We start from the raw sequence: 23,892 nt of genomic DNA on the forward strand, positions 1-23,892 counted from the left end.
CTCTTGATGTCCAGCTGCCTGGATGTCTGCCTGCTAGGGTCTGGGGTTTTTATAGGCACAGGATGGGAGCGTGGCAGGCCAGGGTGGTCTTGGGAAATGCAACATTTGGGCAGGAAAACAAAAATGCCTGTCCTCACCTAGGTCCATGGGCAGAGGCCATGGGGTAAAGCCCTAGCCAGGGATCACGCACTCCTCCCTTCCATATCATTTAAAGGGACCACACTTCCTTTCCCAGCATTTCCTTTCATGTATCACAGTAATGCTTTGGAATTAACCACCTGCTCATCTTGAAAATAAGTAAGTAACCACTTTATTGTTTCAGTGGAAGGCATGTCCCTTCTTCAGACTCAATCTAATCTACCTGGAATCCATCCTTTCCTGCCTTTTCCAGGAAATCGTTATTGTTCCTCACTCTCCCCTACCTTCAACCTCTTTCTCTGTCCACTGGTGTTTATGAGCCTAAATGGTCAGAAAAGGCTCAAGCCTCTCCCACTTTTACACACACACACATACACACACACACCTCATTCAACCAGCTATCTCTTTATCTTTCTTTTACCTCTTAAAACCAAGCTTCCTAAAAGTGTTTCCCATAGTCACTCACTGTCTTTATATCTCTTTTCCCACTAAACACTCAACTCACTGTAACCTAGTTTTTGCTACTTCATTCTTTTTTTTTTTTTTTACAGCCCAGAGGTCCTTTATTTTCCTTTTTAACACCTATTATGCCATGAATTCCTAGGGAATAGATTCCAGCAGCTCAGGCTCCTTCCCATTGGTTCTCACAAAGTGTGCTTCTCTGGGTGGAGCAGGCTGGTGCTTTAGTTGAACCCAGGTACCTTTCTCTTTGGCTTCTTTCTTTTTCTGATCATTTTCCTTCATGCGTTTCAGGAAGCTATCTCAGCTCTTAGAGTGCTTAATATACTCAATACGTACATTAATTCTCTTGGCAAGAATCTTGCCCTTAATTTGTTTGTTTACAACAATGCCAACAGCATGCTGGGTAACATTGTAGACTCTTCCAGTTTTGCCATGGTAACACTTGTGGGGCATTCCTTTTTGAACAGTACCCATTCCCTTGATGTCTACAATATCACCTTTCTTATAGATTCGCATATACGTGGCCAAAGAACAACTCCATGTTTTCTAAAAGGCCTAGAGAACATATATTGGGTGCCTCTCCTCTTTCCCTTTGTGTTTGTCATTTTGGCAAATTACTGGAAGATGGCGGTTCTGGCCGAAAGGTACTTCATTCTTTTACAGTCCTTTTCTCCAAGTCATAAACTACCTTTATTTGCTACATCTGATGCCTACTTCTTTATACTTTCTTTTACTTTTCAGTAACATTTGACACTATCAGTCATTCCCTCCCTTCCTTTCTCTCTCTTTTTTTTTGAGACAGGGGGTCTCACTCTGTCACCCAGGCTGGAGTGCAGTGGTACGATGTCAACCTCTGCTTCCTGGGCTCAAGTGATCCTCCCACCTCAGCCTCAGCCCCCAAGTAGCTGGGACTACAGGTGTGCACCATCATGCACGGCTAACTTTTGTATTTTTAATAGAGACAGGGTCTCACGATGTTGCCCAGGCTGGTCTAGAACTCCTGAACTCAAGCAATCCGCCTTGACCTCCCAAAATGCTGGGATTACAGGCTTGAGCAACCATTCCCAGCTTCTTTCTCTTTTTTTCCTCCCTTCCTCCTTCTCACCTATCGGGGAACCTGCCCCGATAGTCACATAGGTTCTTTTCTCTTTTCCCTAAGCGTCGGCCGGTTTGATAAATAAAGGGACAGAGTACAAAAGAGAGAAATTTTAAAGCTGGGTGTCTTGGGGAGACATCACATGTCGGTAGGTTCCGTGATGCCCTCCAAGCCACAAAACCAGCAAGTTTTTATTAGGGATTTTCAAAAGGGGAGGGAGTGTGCGAATAGATGTGGGTCACAGACATCAAGTACTTTACAAGGTAATAGAATATCACAAGGCAAGTGGAGGCAGGGTGAGATTACAGGACCACAGGACCAGGGCGAAATTAAAATTGCTAATGAAGTTTCGGGCACCATTGTCATTGATAACATCTTATCAGGAAACAGGATTTTGAGAGCAACCAGTCTGACCAAAATTATTAGGCGGGAATTTCCTCTTCCTAATAAGCCTGGGAGCGCTATGGGAGACTGGGGTCTATTTCACCCCTACAACCTCCACCATAAAAGACGGCCACGCCCAAGGGAGCCAGTTTAGAGACCCACCCCCAGGCGTGTATTCTCTTTCCCAGGGATGTTCCATGCTGAGAAAAAGAATTCAGTGATATTTCTCCCATTTGCCTTTGAAAGAAGAGAAATATGGCTCTGTTCCACCCGGCTCACCGGCGGTCAGAGTTTAAGGTTATCTCTCTTATTCCCTGAACAATTGCTATTATCCTGTTCTTTTTTCAAGGTGCCCAGATTTCATACTGCTCAAACATACATGCTGTACAATTTGTGCATTAATGCAATTATTACAGGGTCCTGAGGTGACATACATCCTCCTCAGCTGACAGGATTAGGAGATTAAAGTAAAGACAGGCATAGGAAATCACAAGGGTATTGATTGGGGAAGTCATAAGTGTCCATGAAATCTGTACAATTTATGTTTAGAGATTGCAGTAAAGACAGGCATAAGAAATTATAAAAGTATTAATTTGAGGAACTAATAAATGTCCATGAAATCTTCACAATCTACGTTCTTCTGCCATGGCTTCAACTGGTCCCTCCATTTGGGGTCCCTGTCTTCCCGCAACACTCACCCACCCTCCCTCTTTTCCCCCCTTCTTTCTCTCTTTTTAAGTATCTTTTACTGGCTGAATAACAATTCCTTTCTTTTTCTTTCTCTCGCCCTCACTTTCATCTACTCCCACTTTCTCTCTCCCTTCCTTCCTTTTTTCCCCCTCTTTCTCTCTTTAAGTATCATTTACTGGCTGAGTAACAATTTCTTTCTTTTTCAGAAGAAAACCCTAAACATACATTTACAGGGGATATTGTAAAGGGTCAATAACAGTAAAGTCGCATTGCTTCCCACACATAAAATAAATGTTGATCATCCTTGGATGCTCCTCCAGACTTTTCCTGTGAAGTTCCTCACTCCCATCTGAGTTTCTTCCCCTGCTAACAAATTTCCTGCCGAACTGGCTGCCACTCCCAATTCTCTTCCCCAGTCTTAGGAAAAGGACATGTGTCACCCAGGCTTCAGGGAGAACTTGCCTTCAACTCTGAGGAGAAGGAATGTATTGCCACTAGCTTTTAAGTCCACTTGTTAAAAGAACTGTGAAATCAATCTAGACTTATCCTTTGCATTGAAGTTTATGGCTGGGCTGAGACTAAAGGGGCCATGAGTGACACTGGAAGATCTTCAGACATTGGAGGCTTGCAGAGCAAGCTGTGGGACAGGGAAGGCCACGTGGCAGCAGGGAAAGGATTTGAATGGGGGGCTCCTTGGACAAATTTGGGGCCAGAAGCTAGAGCAAAGGATGGTTGGGGGTAAAAGGGAGGCTGCCAGCACAGGGCATGGGCAACTTACTGGGGTGATGCCTCTCCATGCCTCAGGAAATGGGGTATCCCACGTCAGGGTGTGTCTGGAGTTGGTTCCTTCTGGTGGGTTCTTGGTCTCGCTGACTTCAAGAATGGAGCTGCGGACTTTTGTGATGAGTGTTACAGCTCTTGAAGATGTCACGGACCCAGAGAGTTAGCACCAGCAAGATTTATTGTGAAGAGCTAAAGAACAAAGCTTCCACACCATGGAAGGGAACCCAAGTGGGTTGCTGCTGCTGGCTGGGGTGGCCAGGTTTTATTCTTTTATTTGTCCCCGCCCACATCCTGCTGATTGGTCCATTTTACAGAGTGCAGATTGGTCCATTTTACAGAGTGCTGATTGGTCCATTTTACAGAGCACTGATTGGTCCATTTTACAAACCTCTAGCTAGCCACAGAACACTGACTGGTGCATTTTACAATCCTAGCTACAGAGTGCTGATTGGTGCATTTTATAATCCTCTTGTAAGACAGAAAAGTTCTCCAAGTCCCCACCCGACCCAGAAGTCCAGCTGGCTTCACCTCTCAAAGGGGGGTCACAGAGGCCATCCCCAGTTTCCCAGAGCCAGGGCAGGGCTGTAAAGGATAAGGGATTCTCATGGACCCAAAGGCTGATGGAGCTGGGAGGAAGCCCAGCTGCCTCAGCTGCCCTGGGGTCTCTGCCAAAGACCCCCACTCCGTGGTCTCAGATGTTGCTGCTGTTGCTGCCACCATCAGGCAGTCACATCCCCGGGGATGTCCACCACAGGATCCACCGTCCCCACACTGGTGGGGGCTGTGGATGCTTGAGAGGCTCCTCGGCTGCAAGATCCGGGAACTGAGTCTGGCTCCAGTGCTGCTCGAGGACAGAGGCCCACCCTGGCTGCTGCTGGGATAGATTCACCTACTCTTTCTTGAAACTTCCTCCTCCCTGGCTTTCCATGTTGCAAACTTTCTTTGTTCTTCTACCTCTCTTGTCGTTTCTGTCTCCTTGACTCTTCTTCTGCCTGTGCCAGAAATGTTGTTGTTCCTCATGGTTCCTCATAGACCCCTTTCTTCTATTACTGGAAAATTTCATCTACTTCTGTGTTGTCAGCTCCCATTAGGAAGAAAACGTAAGTTTATAGTTCTACCCCAAATCTCTTCTCCTGAAAGTCTAACTTGGATCTTTACTTTGAAGTCCTACAGACACTTACTTTAGTTTGGATTCCCCTACCCTCAAGTAGAGCCTAGGACTATGGCTTACCTGAATGAAGTTTTTCTGGGAAGGTAATTCCAGGAAGCAGGAGTGAGGGAGCAGGAATAGTGACATATGGAAGGAGAAAAGCCAGTAAAGGGTACATTGCTGAGCTGATAATCACTGTGGGCATAGACTGGTTATCATCATCCATGTCACTTAGAATTGTTTCTCTGGAGGCTGGGGGGCTGGGGCGTTGTTCACCAATTCCCGGCACCCATTGGTTGAGGACTGCCACCAGGAAATGGTAGCTGAGGCACATTTGAGCTATACTTTTGCCAGGTTGAGGGATTTCCCAATTCTGGAGAAAGCTGTGAGGAGAAAAGCAAAAGTGATGGTGTCAGAGTGCAGGGACATGTTCCCCACAGCTGCACTGGCATCAGAGGTGAGCCAACAGGGTAGAAAGCAGGGCACAAAGTGCATTGCTATACAACATTCCAAAACAGAACCAGCTCCCCAGCATCTGGTTCTCTTTTTGTCACTCTATCTCAAGGGCTGGCACGTCCCCTCAAAACCCTTCAGTGGCCCTCCTTTGTACTTAGAATGGCCAGCTTCTGACTATGGCCTTCTGATAGTTGCAGGAGGCAGATAAGGGTAGGGATTGGTCAGTTAGCGGGGGAAGGTTGTCCCCGGACAATCTCTGACCCACCCCACAAGTGTTTACATCAGATGCTTTTGTGCAGATAAGGGAACCTGTCCAGAGTTTTGTCTGTGCATGCCCGCAACAGACTGGTGACCCACCTGCACACTGAGAGACTGGGGTGGAGCCACAGGAATTTCGCACCTTGTGCAGCGGGGAGGAGCCTGGCCGCTTCAGCTCATGTGTGGTGGCCTGGTATTCAATCAGTGAGGTGGGAGACAGTTAGCATACTCCCTTCTTTTTTCACTGAGAGCTTTCTTTTAATAAATTTCCCTCTCCTCACCTTTCAGTTTATCTGCGTTCCTAATATTTCCTGGTCGTGTTACAAGAACCTGGTTTTAGCTGAACTAAGCAGCAAAAAATACTGTATCACTTCTACCCCCGCTTACCTCACCATCCTCATCTCTCAACATTCCCCACCCCACTGTCTCCATTCCAGCCTTGCTGATCATTCAGTTCTGTGGGTACATTGTGCTTTCTCTCATATCTAGGTTTTTACACACGTTGTCCCTCATCCTGGAACATTCTCTCTCCAGCCCTCTTTTCCCTTAATTCTTATTTGCCACCTGTTTTCAGATTAGCTGCAACTTCTTGATGATCGTCCATATCTAGATTAGGTGCCCCTCTGTCTCTTCCTATACCATCTTACGCTTTCCTGTCAGAACACTTGCATGATATTATAACAGCCTGTTCACTTGTCTGGAGCCCTCTCTAGACTATGAACCCTGTGAGGAAAAGATCTGTCTGCATCCTGTTCACCATTTCATGCCCAATGCTTACCGTAGAGTCCTAGACATAGCTGACCCTCAGTAAATGATTGAATCAATATCTCGAGTGTTAATAGAGCATTAATTCTAACTGTGTGGCGGGGTCTCCCAACACGTCTCAGAAAACTTAAGCATTCAGCTGCGTCTTGAAGAGATGTAAAAGCGCTGAGGCTGGATTGTTCAGGATACGATAAAGTTTGGTCGCCTAGAACACACAGTACTCAGTAGAGCATGGCAAAGATGAGACTGGTCTCTCACTTTATGGCCAGATTGCAAAGGGCCTTGAATGATCTTGGATTTTATGGAGTAGACAGCGGTAGAACCATTGAGGAAGTTTTAAGAAGACAGTACTTAGTCATTTGGGTTGTAGAAAGATAGCTGGGTGTGGTGGCTCATACCTGTAATCTGAGCACTTTGGGAGGCCAAGGCAGGCAAGATCACTTGAGCTCAGGAGTTCAAGACCAGCCTGGGCAATATGGAAAAACCTTGTCACTGCAAAAAATAAGAAAAAAAAACTTTAGCTGGGTGTGGTGGTGCATGCCTGTAGTCCCAGCTACTCAGTGGGCTGAGGTGGGAGGATGGCTTGAGCCCAGGAAGTCGAGGCTGCAGTGACCTGAGATTGCACCACTGCACTCCAGCCTGGGTGACAAAGTGAGACCCTGTCTCAAAAAAAAAAAAAAAAAAAAAAAAAAAAAAAAAGGATAACTCAAGGCAACAGGTTAATGGCCATAGAAAAACAGAGGTAAGAAATTCAGTTAGGTCACAATTATAGTAGATAACAAGATCTGGAAAGCAGTAGCAGTGGGAATAAGGAAGAGGACTGGATTTGAGACCTTTTAGAGGTAGATTAGATAAGGACTCAGTGACTGTTTGGAGACAAAGGGTGAAAAAAGAAGCAGTATATACTGACTTTGCATTTGGATGCTTGGGAAGATGGTGATGTCACTAACAGCTGGTGAATATAGTTCAGTTTTAGATAAAAGTGAGTTTAAAGCGCCTGGGTAATGAGAAAAGTTGAGAAAGAAACTGAAAGTTTGAGTCTGCAGCTGAGGATTGGAGGTTGTAGTAGGCTGAATAATGGCCCCCAAACATACCCAGATTCTAATCCCTGGGACCTGTGGATGTTACCTTACATGGCAAAAGAAACTTTACACATGTGATTAAGTTAGGGAATTTTTTTTTTTTTTGAGATGGGAGTGCAGTGGTGCAAACACAGCTCAATGCAGCCTCAACTTCCTGAGCTCAAGCAATCCTCCTGCCTCAGCCTCCTGAGTAGCTTGGACTACAGGCGTGCACCACCACGCCTGGCTAATTTTTTATTTTTTGTAGAGACAGGGTCTCATTATGTTGTCCAGGCTGGTCTCAAACTCCTGAGCTCAAGCAATTCTCCCACCTAGGCCTCCCAAGGTGCTGGCATTACAGGGATGAGCTACCACACCCAGCCAAGTAAGGCATCTTGAGATAGGGAGATGATCCTGGAGATCCAGGTAGACCCTAAATATAGTCTCGAGTGTCCTCATAAAAGAGAGACAGAGGGAGATTTGACTACAGCAGAGGGAGTAATAGATGTAACAGTGGAAGCAAGAGGAAGGAATGATGTGAGAAGGAATCACAATCCAAGGAAAGCAATAATCTCCCAGAAGCTGGAAGAGGCAGAGAAGGGATTCTCTTCTAGAGCCTCCAGGAGAAACCAGCCCTGCTGATACATTGACTTTAGCCTGTTGGAACTGACTTCAGACTTCTGGCCTTTAGAACTATAAGATAGTACATGGTATTTTTTAACCACCAGATTTGTGATAAAGTTGTTTCAGCAGCTATAGAAAACACACAGAGGTATAGGTCAGGGACTAATTGGTAAGGAGCACCAAAGTAGTGGGAATGAGTAAAACTGTCTAGAGGGAGAGGGCCTGTAGAATGAGAAGAGGGGAGGACCAAGGAAGAAACCCTTGAAATTGACTTTTAAGCCTCAGGCAGCAGCAGAGGGACTTCCATGTCTGGCAGTATGACAGACTACATACCTTGAATGATAGCTCACTGAAAACAACTACAAATAATTAACAAAGTATTTTTTAATCTTTTGAAGTGCATGTTTATGCTGGCAGAAGTAAGGAATACTCAGAGGTCAAGTATTATATGCAAGTGGAAACCCAGGAGAGTTTTCCACAGGAGAGGTTTCCATAGGAGAGGTTTCCATAGGAGAGGTTTCCACAGGAGAAGTTTCCACTTGGAGAGGTTTCTTGGGTTTCCACTTGCATCTAATACTTGACCTCTGAGTATTCCTTACTCCTGAGTATAAGCAGAAACCTGGAGAGGTTTTTGCCTTGAGAGTATCTGCCAAATTCACATGAGTGAATAAGTGAATACAGTGGTCAACGTGTACACAGAGTGAGTCTAACTGTAGTCCCTTCCACCTCTGCTTAGAGCTGGGTCCACAAAAGATTACACTGTTTGTGTAAGGATGGGTTACAAATTAACTTACTGCCTTTCCCCAAGCCCCAGAGTATTGTAAGGAAAATTGCCTGCCTTGAGACTTGACTTTAAATGGAGGGAGAAAAAAACATCTCCCCTGAGAACTCATAACATAGCCAGCACTCACACAGTCTTGCAGCTCAAATTCACACTGTTCTTTAGAGTCCAAAAAATTCAAGTCAAGAATTAAGTTCACAGTAAACCTTAATTTGTAGTTTCCAGGCAACTGACAGAAACAAATGCAAACCTATTCTAGAAGTACCCATCTTCAACACAGGCCTCGATGGCTTCTCATCAATAAATTCTAAAAAAAATACAAGCTCATGGTCAAAATCACAAAATGCAAAAGGAAATAATTGCTCTAGTCAGTTTTGTGTTGCTATAACAGAATACCTGAAACTGGATGATTTAGAAAGAAAAGAAGTTTATTTGGCTGACGATTCTGGTGGCTGGAAAGTCCAGGTTTGAACATCTATATCTGGCAAGGGCCTCAGGCTGTTTCCACTATGGCAGACAGCAGAAGGGGAGGGGATACCTGCAAAGAGATCCCACGGCAAGAGAAGAAGCCAGACATTAACAACCTGGTCTCTCCGAAATAATTCATTCTCACAAAAGCAAAAATTCACCCCAGCAGGAGGGCATTAATCTATGAATGAAGAATCCACCCCCATAATCCTTTAATGAGGACCCAAACACCTCCCACTAGGCTCCCACTCCCAACACTGCCACATTGGGAATGAAATTTCAACATGAGTTTTGGCAGGGACAAACCAAACCATAGCAATAATGTAGCATGAGCAAAGGCCAGCATAAACATGAATAACAGAATCAGACTGCAAAGCTTTAGCTATTGAAATTACTAAACACAGAACATAAAATAAGCCTATTAAATATATTAAAAGAAATAAGAGAAAAAAATGAAAATATGCATAAAACATGACCAGAAGATTTGAAGAAGACCTGAAAGAACTACTAGAAGTTTAACAGGTAATATTTCAAATTAAAAATACAATAGACAGGTTTAACAGCAGAATAATCACAACTGGAGAATAGATTCAGATGGATAGATCCAAGAAAATTTCCAGAATGTAGCCCTAAGAGACAGAAAATATGAATGAAAGGTTATAAAACATGAAGACAGTCTTGTGAAAAATATAACAATTATCTAATTGGAGTTCCAGACAGACAGGAGAGAAGGAGAAGGGCAAAGGTAATAACTGAAGAGGTAATGGCTGAGGATTTTTTAGAAATGACAAACCACAGTTTTTAAAAGCCCAACAATCCCAATAAGGATAAATAAAAGGACATTCACACTTAGACATCATGTAGTTGAACTACAGAATACCATAAACAAAGAAAAAAAGTTGAAAAGCAGCCAGAGAAAGATAAGACAGATTAGCGTACTTTCAACAGGGCAATTAGACTTCTTAACAGTTACAGAAGCCAGAAAAAGTTTAACATTTTCAATGTGTTGAAAGAAAATTACTGTCAACCAGAATTTGAATATTATCTTTCAAAAACAATGACAAAGTCAGACACCTTCAAAGAAACAAAAACAGAGTTTGCCATCAATAGACCCTCACTAAAGGAAATTCTAAAGGCTGCTATTTAGGCAGGAAGAAAGGGAACAAGGAAGGTCAGAGATGAATAAAAGAATGAGGAGCAAGGAGAGTGCTGAATATGTGCTTAATTGTAAATAAATATTGGCTACAAAGATCAATAATTTTTTAAAAAAATATCTTTTTAAAAAATAATATCTTAAGGGGCTGAAAAAACAAGATAGAAATGAAATACACAGCTGTCAATAGCATGTAACTGGGAGGGGAGGATCAGAATTAAAGTGTTTATTGTGTGGTAGGATGGTAAAGATATTAAGTTTCCAAGTTAAAATTTCTAGCATAACTACCAAGAATGTATAACTTTTTAACTATAAAGGGAAAAAGTGGAAAGAGAAGAATAATACAAAGTAGATGAGAATAGAGGAAAAAACAAAATATTGAAGGTTCAAGATACATAAAAAGCACAATATAAGATGGTGAAAATAAATCCAAATGTATCAATAAGTAAAATAGACTACTCAATTTATAAGCAAAGACTGACTGGTAGTATATATTGTGTTTTAAAGAATGCAGGTATATTCTCTTAAGTCACATTTAAAACATAAGGATTCAAAAATGTTAAGAATAAGAGCGTGAAAAAAAATTGTATCACGCAGACACTAACCAAGAGGATGTTGGTGTTGCTATATTAGTATCAGACAAAATAACCCTTAAGGCAAAAACCTTCACGAAAGATAAAGAGAACATTTCATAAAGAGTTTCATAAATAAAAAAGGTTCAGGCCGGGCGTGGTGGCTCATGCCTGTAATCCGCGCACTTTGGGAAGCCAAGGCGGGTGGATCACCTGAGGCCAGGAGTTGGAGATCAGCCTGGCCAACGTGGTGAAACCCTGTCTCTACTAAAAATGCAAAAGATAGCCAGGCATGGTGGTGTGCCACTGTAATCCCAGCTACTCGAGAGGCTGAGGTGGGAGAATTGCTTGAACCCAGGAGGTGGAAGGTTCAGTGAGCAGAGATTCCGCCCCTGCACTCCAGCCTGGGTGACAGAGCGAGACCTTGTCTCAAAAAAATAATAAAAATAATAAAAATAATAAGAAAAAAAATAAAAAAATAAAAAAGGTTCGGTCTTCCAAGAAGATGTAAGAATTCTAAGCTGTTAAATACCTAGATAAAGTTGACCAAATCAGTAAGGAGAAAGATTAGAACAACATAATTAACAAGCCGGTGCTAATTAAGTACAGTACATAGAACACTGCACCTAACAGCTACACAATATAGATTCTTTTCAACCAACATGGAGTATTTTTGAAAACTGACCACATTGCTAGGTTAGAATACAAATCTCAACAATTTAAAATTGGAATCATACAGACCACAGTTTCTGAACCTAATGCAATTAAATTAGAAATCAATAACAAAGGGATAACTAGGAAAGTCCATATTTGAGAAATTAAGATATCCTCTTCTAAATAACATGTGGGCAAAAGAAGGAATTATGATGGAAATTAGAAAATACAATGTGTGAACACAAAGACCCTATAATAAAAATGTATTTAATGTAGATAAAGTAAGATCTAGAGAGAAATTACAGCCTTATATGCTTTTATTAGAAGAGATGAAAGACTAACAATAAGTTAAGAAGTTAGAAAAATAATAATGAAATAAAAATAAGTAAGAGAGTAGAAATAATAAAGATAGTAGAAATTAATAATATGGAAAATAAAAATACAACAGAAAGGATTCACAAGGCCAAAAATTATTTCTTTGGAAAGCCTTTTATAGGTAAATATTAGAACAAAAGAGAGGTTATAATTACAGTTGATGGACACATTAAATGGTTAATTAGGAGGATAATGTACGGCAGGGCTATAAGTTGGAGAACTTAGGAAAATGGATAAATTCATAGAAAAAATAGAATTTACTAAAACTTCCTCAAGAGGAAACAGAAAATAATATTCCAAAACATAGTCAAGAAAATGAATTGGTTTAAAATTGACCCACAAAGTAAATACCAAAACCAGGTAGTTTTTTGTTTTCTTTAAAAATTTTTTTAATTATAGAAATTTTAATCATGCACAAAAGTAGAGAAAATTGTAAAATGAACTATGTACCCACCATTCAGCTTCAATGATTGTCAGCACTTGCCTTTCCTTTTTATTCAATCTCCACCCTCATTTTAAAAAAATTGTTTGCTTTGAAATAATTTTAATGTTACAGAAAAGTTCAATAAATAGTACCAAGCATTCACATATATCATTCATCCAGTTTCCCCTGTTGTTAACGCTTTACATACCTATAGTACAATTAATCATACAGATTTTGATTCTCTCCTAATTGATCCATGGATTTAATGAAGAAGCAAGCATATATACAATTTTACTTATATGAAGTTAACAAAAAAAGTCTTATTTTATTTTATTTTATTTTTTTAATGAGACAAGGTCTCACTATGTTGCCCAGGCTGGTCTCAAACTCCTGGGTTCAGGTGATTCTCCTGCCTCAACCTCCCAATAGCTGGAATTATAGGCATGCCCCACGATGCCCAGCAATGTTGTTTTTTTAAAAAAGAACACAAATATATGTGGTAAAAAAAGAAAAATAAGGAACATTTTAATTTCCTTTTATTTGTCTCAGAGATAAATCCATTTATCTCTGAGTGTGAAGGGCTAGGGCTGGGATCAGGAAGGGGCTTACAGAGAACTTAGAAATGTTTATTTTCCTAAACTAGATAGTTCTTGCTATACCTCTCTTGTGCTGGACATTCTGGGCCTCTGCCCTGGGCCCCAGGCTTTGGAGTGCCTTCCTTGGAATGTTCTAAGTCTCTCTCCGGTGCATGAGATCAGCTGGGGAGTGCAGATCAGTCCTGCACCTGAGCCCAAACCTGATCTCACCTGGGTCCCAGTCCTCAGAAGCGCTTTTCTCAAAAGTTGGTGAGTACTCCAGTGACTAGGACCATTGTGGACTGGGCGTGCTATCTGGGCAATGTACCCAATACTCAGAACGGGACTCATGGTCCTGGACCTCCATTTCTCCCCAGGGCACATTTCTCCTTTGGGGCATTCTCCGACTCTCCACCAACCCACCTCTTCACCACCACGAGGTCAACCAGATGCCCAGAGGAGCTTTGAGACTCTCCCCTATGAGATGGTTCCTGGGTTCTGGAGGGTGGCCTGGTGAGTAGATCACTCCCACTGGCCAGTGAGATATTTCTTTTGCAGGATTGCTGAGCCACCAGAAAGGTGAAGACACGCTGATTTGGAGTGATTCTCATTCGTGCTGGACTAAAGACAAAGTTAGGCCTTTGGAGTACCCATGTTCACGGGTGTTCCCACTGCAGGGTCACTTCCAGCAAACAGCACCCGAGGTCAGCAGGGATGGCAGTGGGCATCCTGTACCCTATGCACATCCCACCCATCACTGGCACCCAGGATGGTCCGCAGGCTCTAGGCCACATGTCAGACCATCCCCATGGGTGGCCTTGCCTGACTTCTTGAGGGATTTAGAGGCTGTTGCTCCTCAGTGCCAATGGGCCTTTCCTATCAATAACATCATGGTCTCTCAGGTCTATCTTAAGCCTTTCGGGACAAGGATCTGACCTTTTTGTGCAAATGGGACCGATTTTTGGTCTCTGCCCTGGCCCCTGACTTATCCTCCCTGCTGGTGGTGGGGTTTGGAAGGCAGAGGTGTGGTCAAGATAGAAAGAGATCACATTGTAGGAATGCAGGAATCACAGAAAATGAGAGATTCAATTGGAAGATATTTTCTAAGTTTTCGCCATACATTTCCTATCAGTAAATTTAACATGATTGGAAAACAAATTACAGTTCACATTTTCCTGTATGTGAACTGTAGCCCAGAACAATCTTTGAGTGTTTGGCAGCCCTGCAGCATAATGTGTGAGACAGAGTCATGAGTAATGATATCATCGGTATTAAATAAATTATAATCAGGGAATTTCAGAGGTAAGAAGATCTACATTGTTTAAATACAAGCAGGTTTAAAGAGCCATGACATTGTGAGAATTAAGAGCAGTGCAACTTTTTTTCTGATGTGAAAGATATGAAATTAACCAGGAACAGTTCTTTCAATAAGGAACTTGAAGAGATGGTTCCTGAATCTGAGTAAGAAGAGATGGTGCCTGGACTCTAGGAAGAATCTTCATCTGTGCTGATTGAACAATAAACAAAGAATGTCTTTTCTATTAATTACTTTAAATCTTCATGCATAAATCACCATTCCTCACATTGGCCCATAAATTTTGTAGGGCAATTTTAAAATCAAATTGTTCATGTAGACAGGGACCTCACAAAAAAATATTTACTTGTGGCCCCACACACCCTAGGGGCAGCAGTGGATACTTGGATGTTTTTGCATTCTTCATTCATTATCTGTATCTTAGAAATGTTGTTTTATATCTACTCAATATTTAATAAAAACTTCTTTCTAAAATAAGAGACACAAGTAGAGGAAGTGGAGCTAGCAAAGAAGGCACAGAATGAGTAGTTAGAGAGATCAGAAGGGAACTGTGGTACCTAGAGGAATATAATAAATGTTTCTAAATTAATAATGGATTCATGAACCAGGAGAAAGTTGAGAGAAGTTTTGGGCAAGAGATGTGGCCATATTTGTAACTCAATTTGTCAAAGCATGTCATATTGGTTATGCACAATATGAAATCTGAACTCATTTAGAAAATCCTGCCCCCTTGGACCCAAAGCATCTAACACCATCTATAATACCAATCCAAGGTGTTATATTCCAAACTATAATGTTCTATAATCTGTTTTAAAAGTGAATTTCTGTGTAAAATAAAGAGCTTATTAAATGTAGGGTAATGAAGAAGTCTAGGGGGACCCTGTTCCATAACATCTCCATCATTTAGGAACTATATACATTTGCATTTACCTTTATGGCTTTTCTTTTGAAATTTTTGTCCTAATTTAAGTGACATCATTAAAACAAAAAAATGATGTCTATATAATATTGCTTCCTTTACTTAGCTATTTCACTTTTGTGGTTGACTGTTAAATTGTCTGCTTATGGATATACTTAATGAATAATTCTGATTATTTTCTCTCTTCAGTAGATTACTAACCCTACTCATCTTTTCTTAAAATGCAAAGAATGCTTAAATGAATGATTTCCTTCATTTACTCCTTGTTATTAGTTCAGGATTTGTTTTTAAGCTTTGCCAAAGGTTGTTTCCACTACAAAGTCCTGGTCTCTCCTATATGAGGGGACCCTCAATACCACTATAATCTTTTTGCATGCTCAATAATCTCCTCCTTCATTATCTTCAGTGGCTGTTTCAAACTTCAAGCTCTCTTCCCCATTAAGTCATTCCTTTCTCCCCTTTACTCACAGTAAATCAGTTTTCCTCCCCCTCTTCCCACTACTAATATTACTATTATACAAACACACACACACACACCCCTTCCTGATAAATCCCCACTCTTTACCATCAAATTGTCTTCTCCCTTGCTTTCTTCCCATTTCACTGTAATTAGTGTTCTTCATTCTATTCATGATTAAATACTCCAGTGTGTGTTGATCAAACCCCTTCTATTCAGAAACCTCATGCTCTCAACCATTCTCTCCCTCTTCCTCTCTCTCTCATGTACACACATACCTCTACAACTTCCTCCACTCTAACTTTTTCCTACCAGTATATAATCAAGTTAAATCTTACTTAATACTAAACAAATGAACAAACAGATTTTCCTTAACTCAGTGTCCCTCTTAAAATTAGGCTATCCCTCCTGTTGTGAACTGCATGTCCCAGCAGCAGCATTCACAGAATCAACACAGTGAGTAAAATCCCCTAGGATTGACCATTACACACCTGAGCATCCACATGCAGTGGGCCTCCTCAAATTACCCATTTGTCTCCTTCCCGTTATAGTTACTGGGGAAAAAACTTATGCTTGTCTCTTTTTTCTTACTCATTCCTTAGCTGACTACAATTGGTGTCTACACCACTAGCTTGATGTAATGTCTGGGGCTAAGGTCAATAGTTCCTTATTGCCAAGTCTGAATATTTGTCTGCCTTTATCTTACCCAACTGTTATTTGAAGTTATAGACCAAACGGTTCTCAAAACTCCTCCTTTAACTTCCTTCTTCTTCTGAGGTTCCTTCCTCCTACCTCGCTGGATAATTCTCTACAGATTCCTTTAAGGACTTTGGTCCTCCAGGCCCTCCTTAGATGTGGTGTTCTCTGAAGTTGCGTCGTAGACTCTCTATCCTCTTCACTTTTTCCAGGTTGTTGAGATGACGTTGCTGAAATACTTGGCATTAGCTATATTGGGATCAAATTTTGAGACAGAGGGTTTTGGGAGTGGGGATGGACAGGAAGGTTGTAAAGTCAAGGGGGCAAAGTATAATATAATCTACCCTTGGAAATCCTTCGAATAGCCCATGGACACAGAATAGCACTTTCTCCTAATAAGTCTGCACAGTTTTCCTCCAGTGTTAGAAGAAAGTATTGAACTTCAGCTAAGCACCAGGTTACATGACTTGACTTAGGTTTAGAACCATGGAATTTTAAGGGGAAAAACAGGCACAGTATCAGCATCATTATTATTATTATGATAATTTTTAGAGACAGAGTCTCATTATGTTGCCCAGGCTGGAGTGCAGTGGCTATTCACAGGAGCAATCATAGCGCCCTGCAGCCTTGAACTCCTGGGCTCAAGCAGTCCTCCCACCTCAACCTCTTGTGTAGCTGGGACTACAGAACCACTGAGCTTGGCTTGGCACAGCATCTTTAAGCACAAGACCAACACCCAGCATAGGGAGATGTTCAGCCCAGGGAATCTGAAACCTGCCTCTCTTCTCATGTTCATTTGGGGACAGACACTGAGAGGAATGGTGGGAAAAAATCATCACATCATTTTAACTATTGATTTTCTTTCTCCCTATTTTTTGTCTTTGTTTTGACAAAAACAAAGATGTGTACTTGGATTTGCATAAACTAAATGTACACGTGCCCTATACTACCTGTATGTAAATAACTCTCCTGTGTCTCCAGTCTGGTCTCCCTTCTGAGACCAGGCCCACATGTTGGAAATCCCTTTTCTAGGCTGATCATCCCTTCATATTAACACTCTGTAGACTAATCTCATCATTTCCCCCTACCTTTATCCCCAGAACTACTCCCCTTCTCCAGTCCAGCCTGGAAGAATGATACCTTTGTTCAATCACCCAAGCCAAATACCTGAGAATCATTCCTGGATCTCCTTTCTGTGAGCATCCACATTCCATCAATAGCTAAATCATATTCATTCTACTCTCTTCAAATTTCTCAAATTCATCTCCTTCTCTACCTCTCCATCCCACTTCTATTGCCTTCACACTCTTGCCATCTGCCATCTCTCCCTAAAATTATTACAGTGACTTTTAACTGGTCTTCCTGCTTCTGTCTTCTTTTTTTTTCTTTTTTTCAGACAGAGTCTCAATCTGTCACCAGGCTGCAGTGCAGCAATGGCACCATCTTGGCTCATGGCAACGTCTGCCTCCTGGGTTCAAGTGATTCTCCTGCCTCAGCCTCCCAAGTAGCTGGGATTACAGGTGCACACCACAACTCCTGGCTAGTTTTTGTATTTTTAGTGGAGACAGGGTTTCACCATGTTGACCAGGCTGGTCTTGAATTCCTGACCTCAAGCGATCCACCCAACTCGACCTTCCAAAGTGCTGGGATTACAGGTGTGAGCCACTGCCCCTGGCCTGTCTTATTCTTGCTGCATTCCACAGTTAAGAATACATGTACAACACTTAGAAATAAGGCCAAGACAGTACAGTAGGTAGGTCCTTTCAATGTGGTGCTGAAGCATTATTAAATAGATCTACTCAATAACTATTTAAAATTGTTAATGTATCTCCATTGAAGTTATTACTGTTGTTATTATTGGAATTTATAAATTAAGGGCTCACACTAGGCAGTTAGTTACATGTTAACTTGTAGATTTTTGCATGGTAGAGATGCAAAGTTTTTTTTCTGATAGAAGAGGTAATCCCAATGTTTTATTTATTTTGTTTATTTTATTTTTATTTCAATAGTTTTGCAAGAACAGGTGGTGTTTCGTTGTATGGAAAAGTTCTTTAATGGTGATTTCTGAGATTTTGGTGCACCCATCACCTGAGCAGTGTACATGGTACTACTCACTGTGTAGTCTTCCCAGTGTTTTACTGCTCTAACACTAGCCACCAGATCTGTCACTAACTTAAAAAAAAATTAAAAGCTGACATTGGGTCCTCTCTTGATGGTGTATATAAACACCCGTTCCTTAAGTCTCTTAGAACCAGCTTAACCAAATTACTAGTTTCTGCACTATTTAATGAATTCAATAAAATCTTTGACAATTCTCCATTTTTAAAAAGTTTTATTCTTAATTGATGAATAATAATTGTGTATTTTTATGGGATACAATGTGATGTTTTGATACATGTTTGTACTATGGAATGACCAAATCAGGCTAATGAACGTATCCATCACTGCAAATGCTTTTCATTTCTTTGTGATGAGAAATGACAAAATCCACTCTTTTAGCTATTTTGAAAGATATGATACATTGTTATTAACTATAGTCATCATGCTATGCAGTAGGTCACCAGAATCCATTCCTCCTCTCTAACTGAGACTTTATACCCTTTGGCCAAAGGCTTCACTTTTCTCCTCTGCCCTTATCTCCACCATTCTACTCTCTACTTCTTTGGAATTCACCTTTTTAAGATTTTGCACGTAAGTGAGATCATGCAGTACTTTTTTTTTTTTTCTGTGCTTGGCTTATTTCCCTTAGCATAATGTCCTCTAGGTTCATCCATGTTGTCACAAATGACAGAATTTCCTGCTTTTTAAAGGCTGAATAGTATTCCATTGTGTATGTATACTTTTTTTTTTTTTTATCCATTCATCTGTTGTATTTTCTTTTAAAGATGTTCTGGGACTTTCATGTTCTTCACATGTTCTACATAAAATATTGACAATAGATAAACAATAAAGGAAAAGACTTTTAAGCAAAAATCTTCCAGAACTCACAGCACTACTCTGGCCACCACAAAGAAAACAGTCAAGTAAACAAAGGATACTGGAGTTTAACAGTGATTTTTAGATTAATGGCACACTTAAAAAACAAAGAACAAGTCAACCAATCAATTTTCTCTTTGCTATTGAAAGGAGAATAAAAGTGAATCATGGAACTAGATCTTTTGTGTGAAGCAGCTTAAAAAGGGGGGTGGGGGGTGCAGAAGAGGAGAACAACTGTTGCAAATGTAGTGCTGTAATGTGCAAGGTCAAGGATTCTAACACATTTCTGAAAGTCTCTAGATATATTACTGAGTATTATTAGAAAATAAATGCATAGGCCAGGTGCAGTGGCTCACGCCTGTAATCCCAGCACTTTGGGAGGCTGAGGCAGGCGGATCATGAGGTCAGGAGATTGAGACCATCCTGGCTCACACAGTGAAACCCCATCTCTACTAAAAATACAAAAAATTAGCTTGGTGTGGTGGTGTGCACCTGTAATCCCAGCTACTCGGGAGGCTGAGGCAGGAGAATCACTTGAACCTGGGAGGTAGAGGTTGCAGTGAGCTGAGATTGCACCACTGCACTCCAGCCTGGCAACAGAGCGGGACTCCGTCTCAAAAAAAAAAGAAAGAAAAAAAATGCATAGAAACATAAACTATATGGCATTGAAACATACCCTGCTATATAAACATACAGTATGTCACTTTTATCTCTTTATGCATATAACTGTATAAAGAAATATCAACAGTTTGACCTTTTGCCTGAAACTCTTAAATACTCACGAAATGGTCAATTTGATCTTAATTATTAGCTGAAGAACCCAGGAGACTCCACTGCTATCTAGAATCTAGAATCTAGATTCACACCTAGAGGGCCCCACCCATTAACTAAGCTGTGTGTTCCTGTGCCTCCAGACACAATTAACTGTAACTTGCATAATTAAGTCAATAGGCAAGTTTGAATACTGAGACCTAGCTAGAAAAAGTAGCAGCAAAGACAAACTAAGCTGGAATTCGTTAGACAAGCAACAGGAAGATTTGAAAATTCTTCCAGTTCAAGTTGGAATTAAGGTGGCTGTTAATTTCCACCGACTTTCCCAAACTAGTGATATTTTGCTGTTCTCTGAAAAAAGAATCTATCATAAGCACATTCATTCGAGAAAAATAGCATGTTTAAGTTTTCATACCTATTCCCAAGTTACTTTTAATTTTGAACATTGTTCAAGGGCAGAATATATATTGGTTAGGATGTATTCATTGCTGGTTCATCTCCAAAATACTTTTTATGAGGGCTGCCAGCTTCTGAACATCTTCACTCTTGATGGTACTGTACAGAGGGGAGATCTGTGCTCTTCCAAGGAGAGCATATTGAGTTCAAGAGCTTTTTCAAGAAATCTTTTTTTTATAAAGCACCATCTCCTTTGACATTGCCAGTATGGAATGGAATATTCATCTTTCTCATAATGGAATATTATGAGGCTCTACTGGATGTTCATAGAATCCTTAAGAATTATTAAAAATATCATAAATTATTATTTTAGATTTGATGGAGCTAAGCTTCTCCACCACTGCTGCAGTGCCATCATTCTTAATCTACACCAGGAACAAGCCCATGACATAGTTGCTGAAATACTGTTGCATGTTGTACAAGAAGTTGTTTCCAACATGCACTTTGTATTCCCGGATGGAGGGCCATTCTCTGAGGGTGACCCCAGCAGTCATTGCAGATGATCACTACTGTCATCCCAAAACAACCAACATGCTTCTGGGCACCAGCAAAAATCACACCAAACCTGGAAGCATCCACTGCCTTCGATAGAAAGTTTGAGGATATGTGGCAAACCAGTAGTGCTTCCTGAGATCAGATATAAAGTCAGACTCCACTCTGTGCCAGTCATTTGTGCAGCATTACACATCGAAGCTGTAAGGGTGAGGTTCCAGGTGTTGAATCTGGAATTTTCATATAACTCCCAAGTTTAGGGTAGCTGATATTCACGATCTCAAACTTCTTGGATGCTTCTGCAGCTTTAGCTGACCAAGCTCCTGTCACCACATAGTTGGCACACCTTCCTGCTTTCAGGCACTTTGGGTTTAAGGGGACAGCACTGAACTGGCCAGACCCACCTTCTTGCACAAAAATGACCTTGTACAGTAGTTGTTTGGAATGGCTAACAATTCCCACACCAGATTCTCTGTGGTATTAATAATTTTAGTGAAATTGGATGACCTGTTGTTCATTTCAAGAACACTAATGCCAATTCCTTTGTGGTCTAATAATTATTGTTCTATCTCTAACAACACTGAGCTCAGCACCTTGGTGGGCCCAGGGCCGAAGTTGACCACCTGCCTTCATGGTGTGATGGAGGGTAGGGAATCAGCTGGGGGGGGGACCTATTGTGTGGGCAGCATGCATCCCCCCACCTGCAGTGGCAGGAGCCTGTTGACCAGTGTCCATTCTCTATTAATATGTGACTCATGTTTTTAAACTCTTTGGAAATTATACTTTGACATCATACTGCTACTAATGAATTGTTTCTAACATGCTTATCTGATCATATTATTTCTCTGCTTAAATTCCTTAATGGCTGCGGGTAGCCTTAATAACTGATGCTCATACTCCTTAGTTTGACACTTACATGTCCTTCATGCCTACTTTTCTAGCCAAATCTCTTCCTATCCCCACACAAACACTATATTCCAACCACACGGCACTATTAAATAAGCAATGTGTTTTTCTTTTTGTACCTGCTGCCTTCTTCATCTAGACCTCCTCCTCCCATTCCCACTGCCCTTTCCCTCCTTTCCCTCCTTTCTGTCTTATTTATCCTTCAAGATTCAGCCCAGGTGTCATCTCCTCTGGAAGCCTCCCCAGATCACCCTTGCTGGATTAAGGTGTTTCTTTCCTCTGCTCTCCTTGTACTTACACACATCATGCTTTCTCCAATTCTTCATTTACTTGCCTGTTTCCGAGACTAAAAGCTAGAGTATAAGCTCTTGAGCTAGGAACTGAATTGACCATCTCTGAAGTACTTATATCCTGAATTTACTGTTACAAAAATGAACTATTTGCCTCATCTGTCTCTGTAAATAATCAATTTATATAGTAAAATTATGTTAAGTGTATTGACTGCCAGCGATGTACTAAACATAAGCAGAGGTACATGTAGCCTCTTCCCAATGGCCCTAGCTCCTAAATTTAACCATTATTAGTTAGGCTCTTTTCCTTGATGCATTCTTAATGTTATAGTCAATGAAAAAAAATAAAATTTCAATCATGCCGTTGTCTAATAGAGGTTGTTCCATCCTTCCCCATCAGATAGTCATTAATATTCTCAGAATTTTAACCATACTTAAAACTTGGCCTACAGTCAAACAGTATTTATGAACATAAAAGTGTTCCCATTTTCCCCAAGAAATATAAAGAAAATTATCACTTGCTGGATTTAAGCTAAGTCATCCCCTGGTAGATTAAGTGTTCATGGCCCTCTGATAATAGCATGTGCCACAGCCTCACCCAGTGTATTGTGTGGGCCCTTGACTGTACTTTCCTCTCAACTACTTCCAACTGTGGGTCATCCACTCAACAGACATTTCATTGTGTGATTTCCTATTGACAAATGTCTTTCTTGTGCTTTTTGTAATGCTGTTCTGTTTGGAGCAAGTTTGTTCCCTTTGGCAGAAAACACTATTCATGAGAAAAATTTTCTAATGAAAAAAATCCTAGACTTTGGTGCTGAGTATCAGCAGCATAAGGAAAAGCACAACTGTGTGAGGATTAGAACTTTATATGTGTAATTGACTTCAGGCTCCAACCAAAGACAGCATCAGGATAAATCCTCTTATGCTTTTACTTGCTCTGAACCACCTCTCAGATGTCCAGGTTCATGGTAAAATGTGTTTCATCTATGCCTGAAGTATCTTGAGGCTCTAAATCTTTGCAAGAGTATTTTATTCCCTCATCCATGTTAGAAAAACATCACCAGGAAGGCAAACATAGTTACCTGATGGTCTCATGTTAGACTTTTTGTTTATTTAGGTAAGCACCTCTTCCTACTAGTGGACTCATCTCAGAAGATTTCAAAAACAAAAGTCTCAAGTGACGTGGATATTTCCACCTGGTTGTAGTGGGATAGGCTGGATTGATGATTTTTCACACTAAGCTCTGAGTGTTCCAATGAGTTCCTTGGAAGTCTCTCAGGATCAACAGGGGTGAGTGGAAGGGGCTCCCCACTCCAGTTTCAATATGAGATACTCTATTTTTGTCCATTTTATATAAGTTGATCTCTAATCTGAATTTCATTTGAAAAAAGTGTTCCACTGCTTAAAGGTAAGTTTAAAAAGAGAACAGAACTAGAATACTTCTAAAAAAATTCAGTAGTTAGCTTACATTGCATACAAATAAAGTAGGCATGGGATATTGATATTGCTGTTAATTCAAAGCAGTAACACATTTAAAAATTCATTTATTCTACAAACATCTATTGAGTTATGATTGCTGCTAAATATGTTCAGTTTGAGATTCTACCCAGTATGATGGGATAGTGTTTTTCACAAGGTACATGGCTCTTTGCAGATGTCCAACACTCTATAAACTACATAGCTGGAAGGGAACCCGGGAATTATCCAGTCTACCCTCTTCCTTTTTAGTCAAAGAAACTAGA

The 23,892-nt window shown here is 40.9% G+C and overlaps 2 pseudogenes; both read right to left on the reverse strand.

The window, feature by feature from the left end:
* Positions 688-1,245, reverse strand: RPL21P37 (ribosomal protein L21 pseudogene 37; annotated as a pseudogene).
* On the reverse strand, positions 20,416-21,671 carry PSAT1P2 (phosphoserine aminotransferase 1 pseudogene 2; annotated as a pseudogene).

Source organism: Homo sapiens, chromosome 2 (genome assembly GCF_000001405.40).
Source record: "Homo sapiens chromosome 2, GRCh38.p14 Primary Assembly".
Classification (NCBI taxonomy): domain Eukaryota; kingdom Metazoa; phylum Chordata; class Mammalia; order Primates; family Hominidae; genus Homo; species Homo sapiens.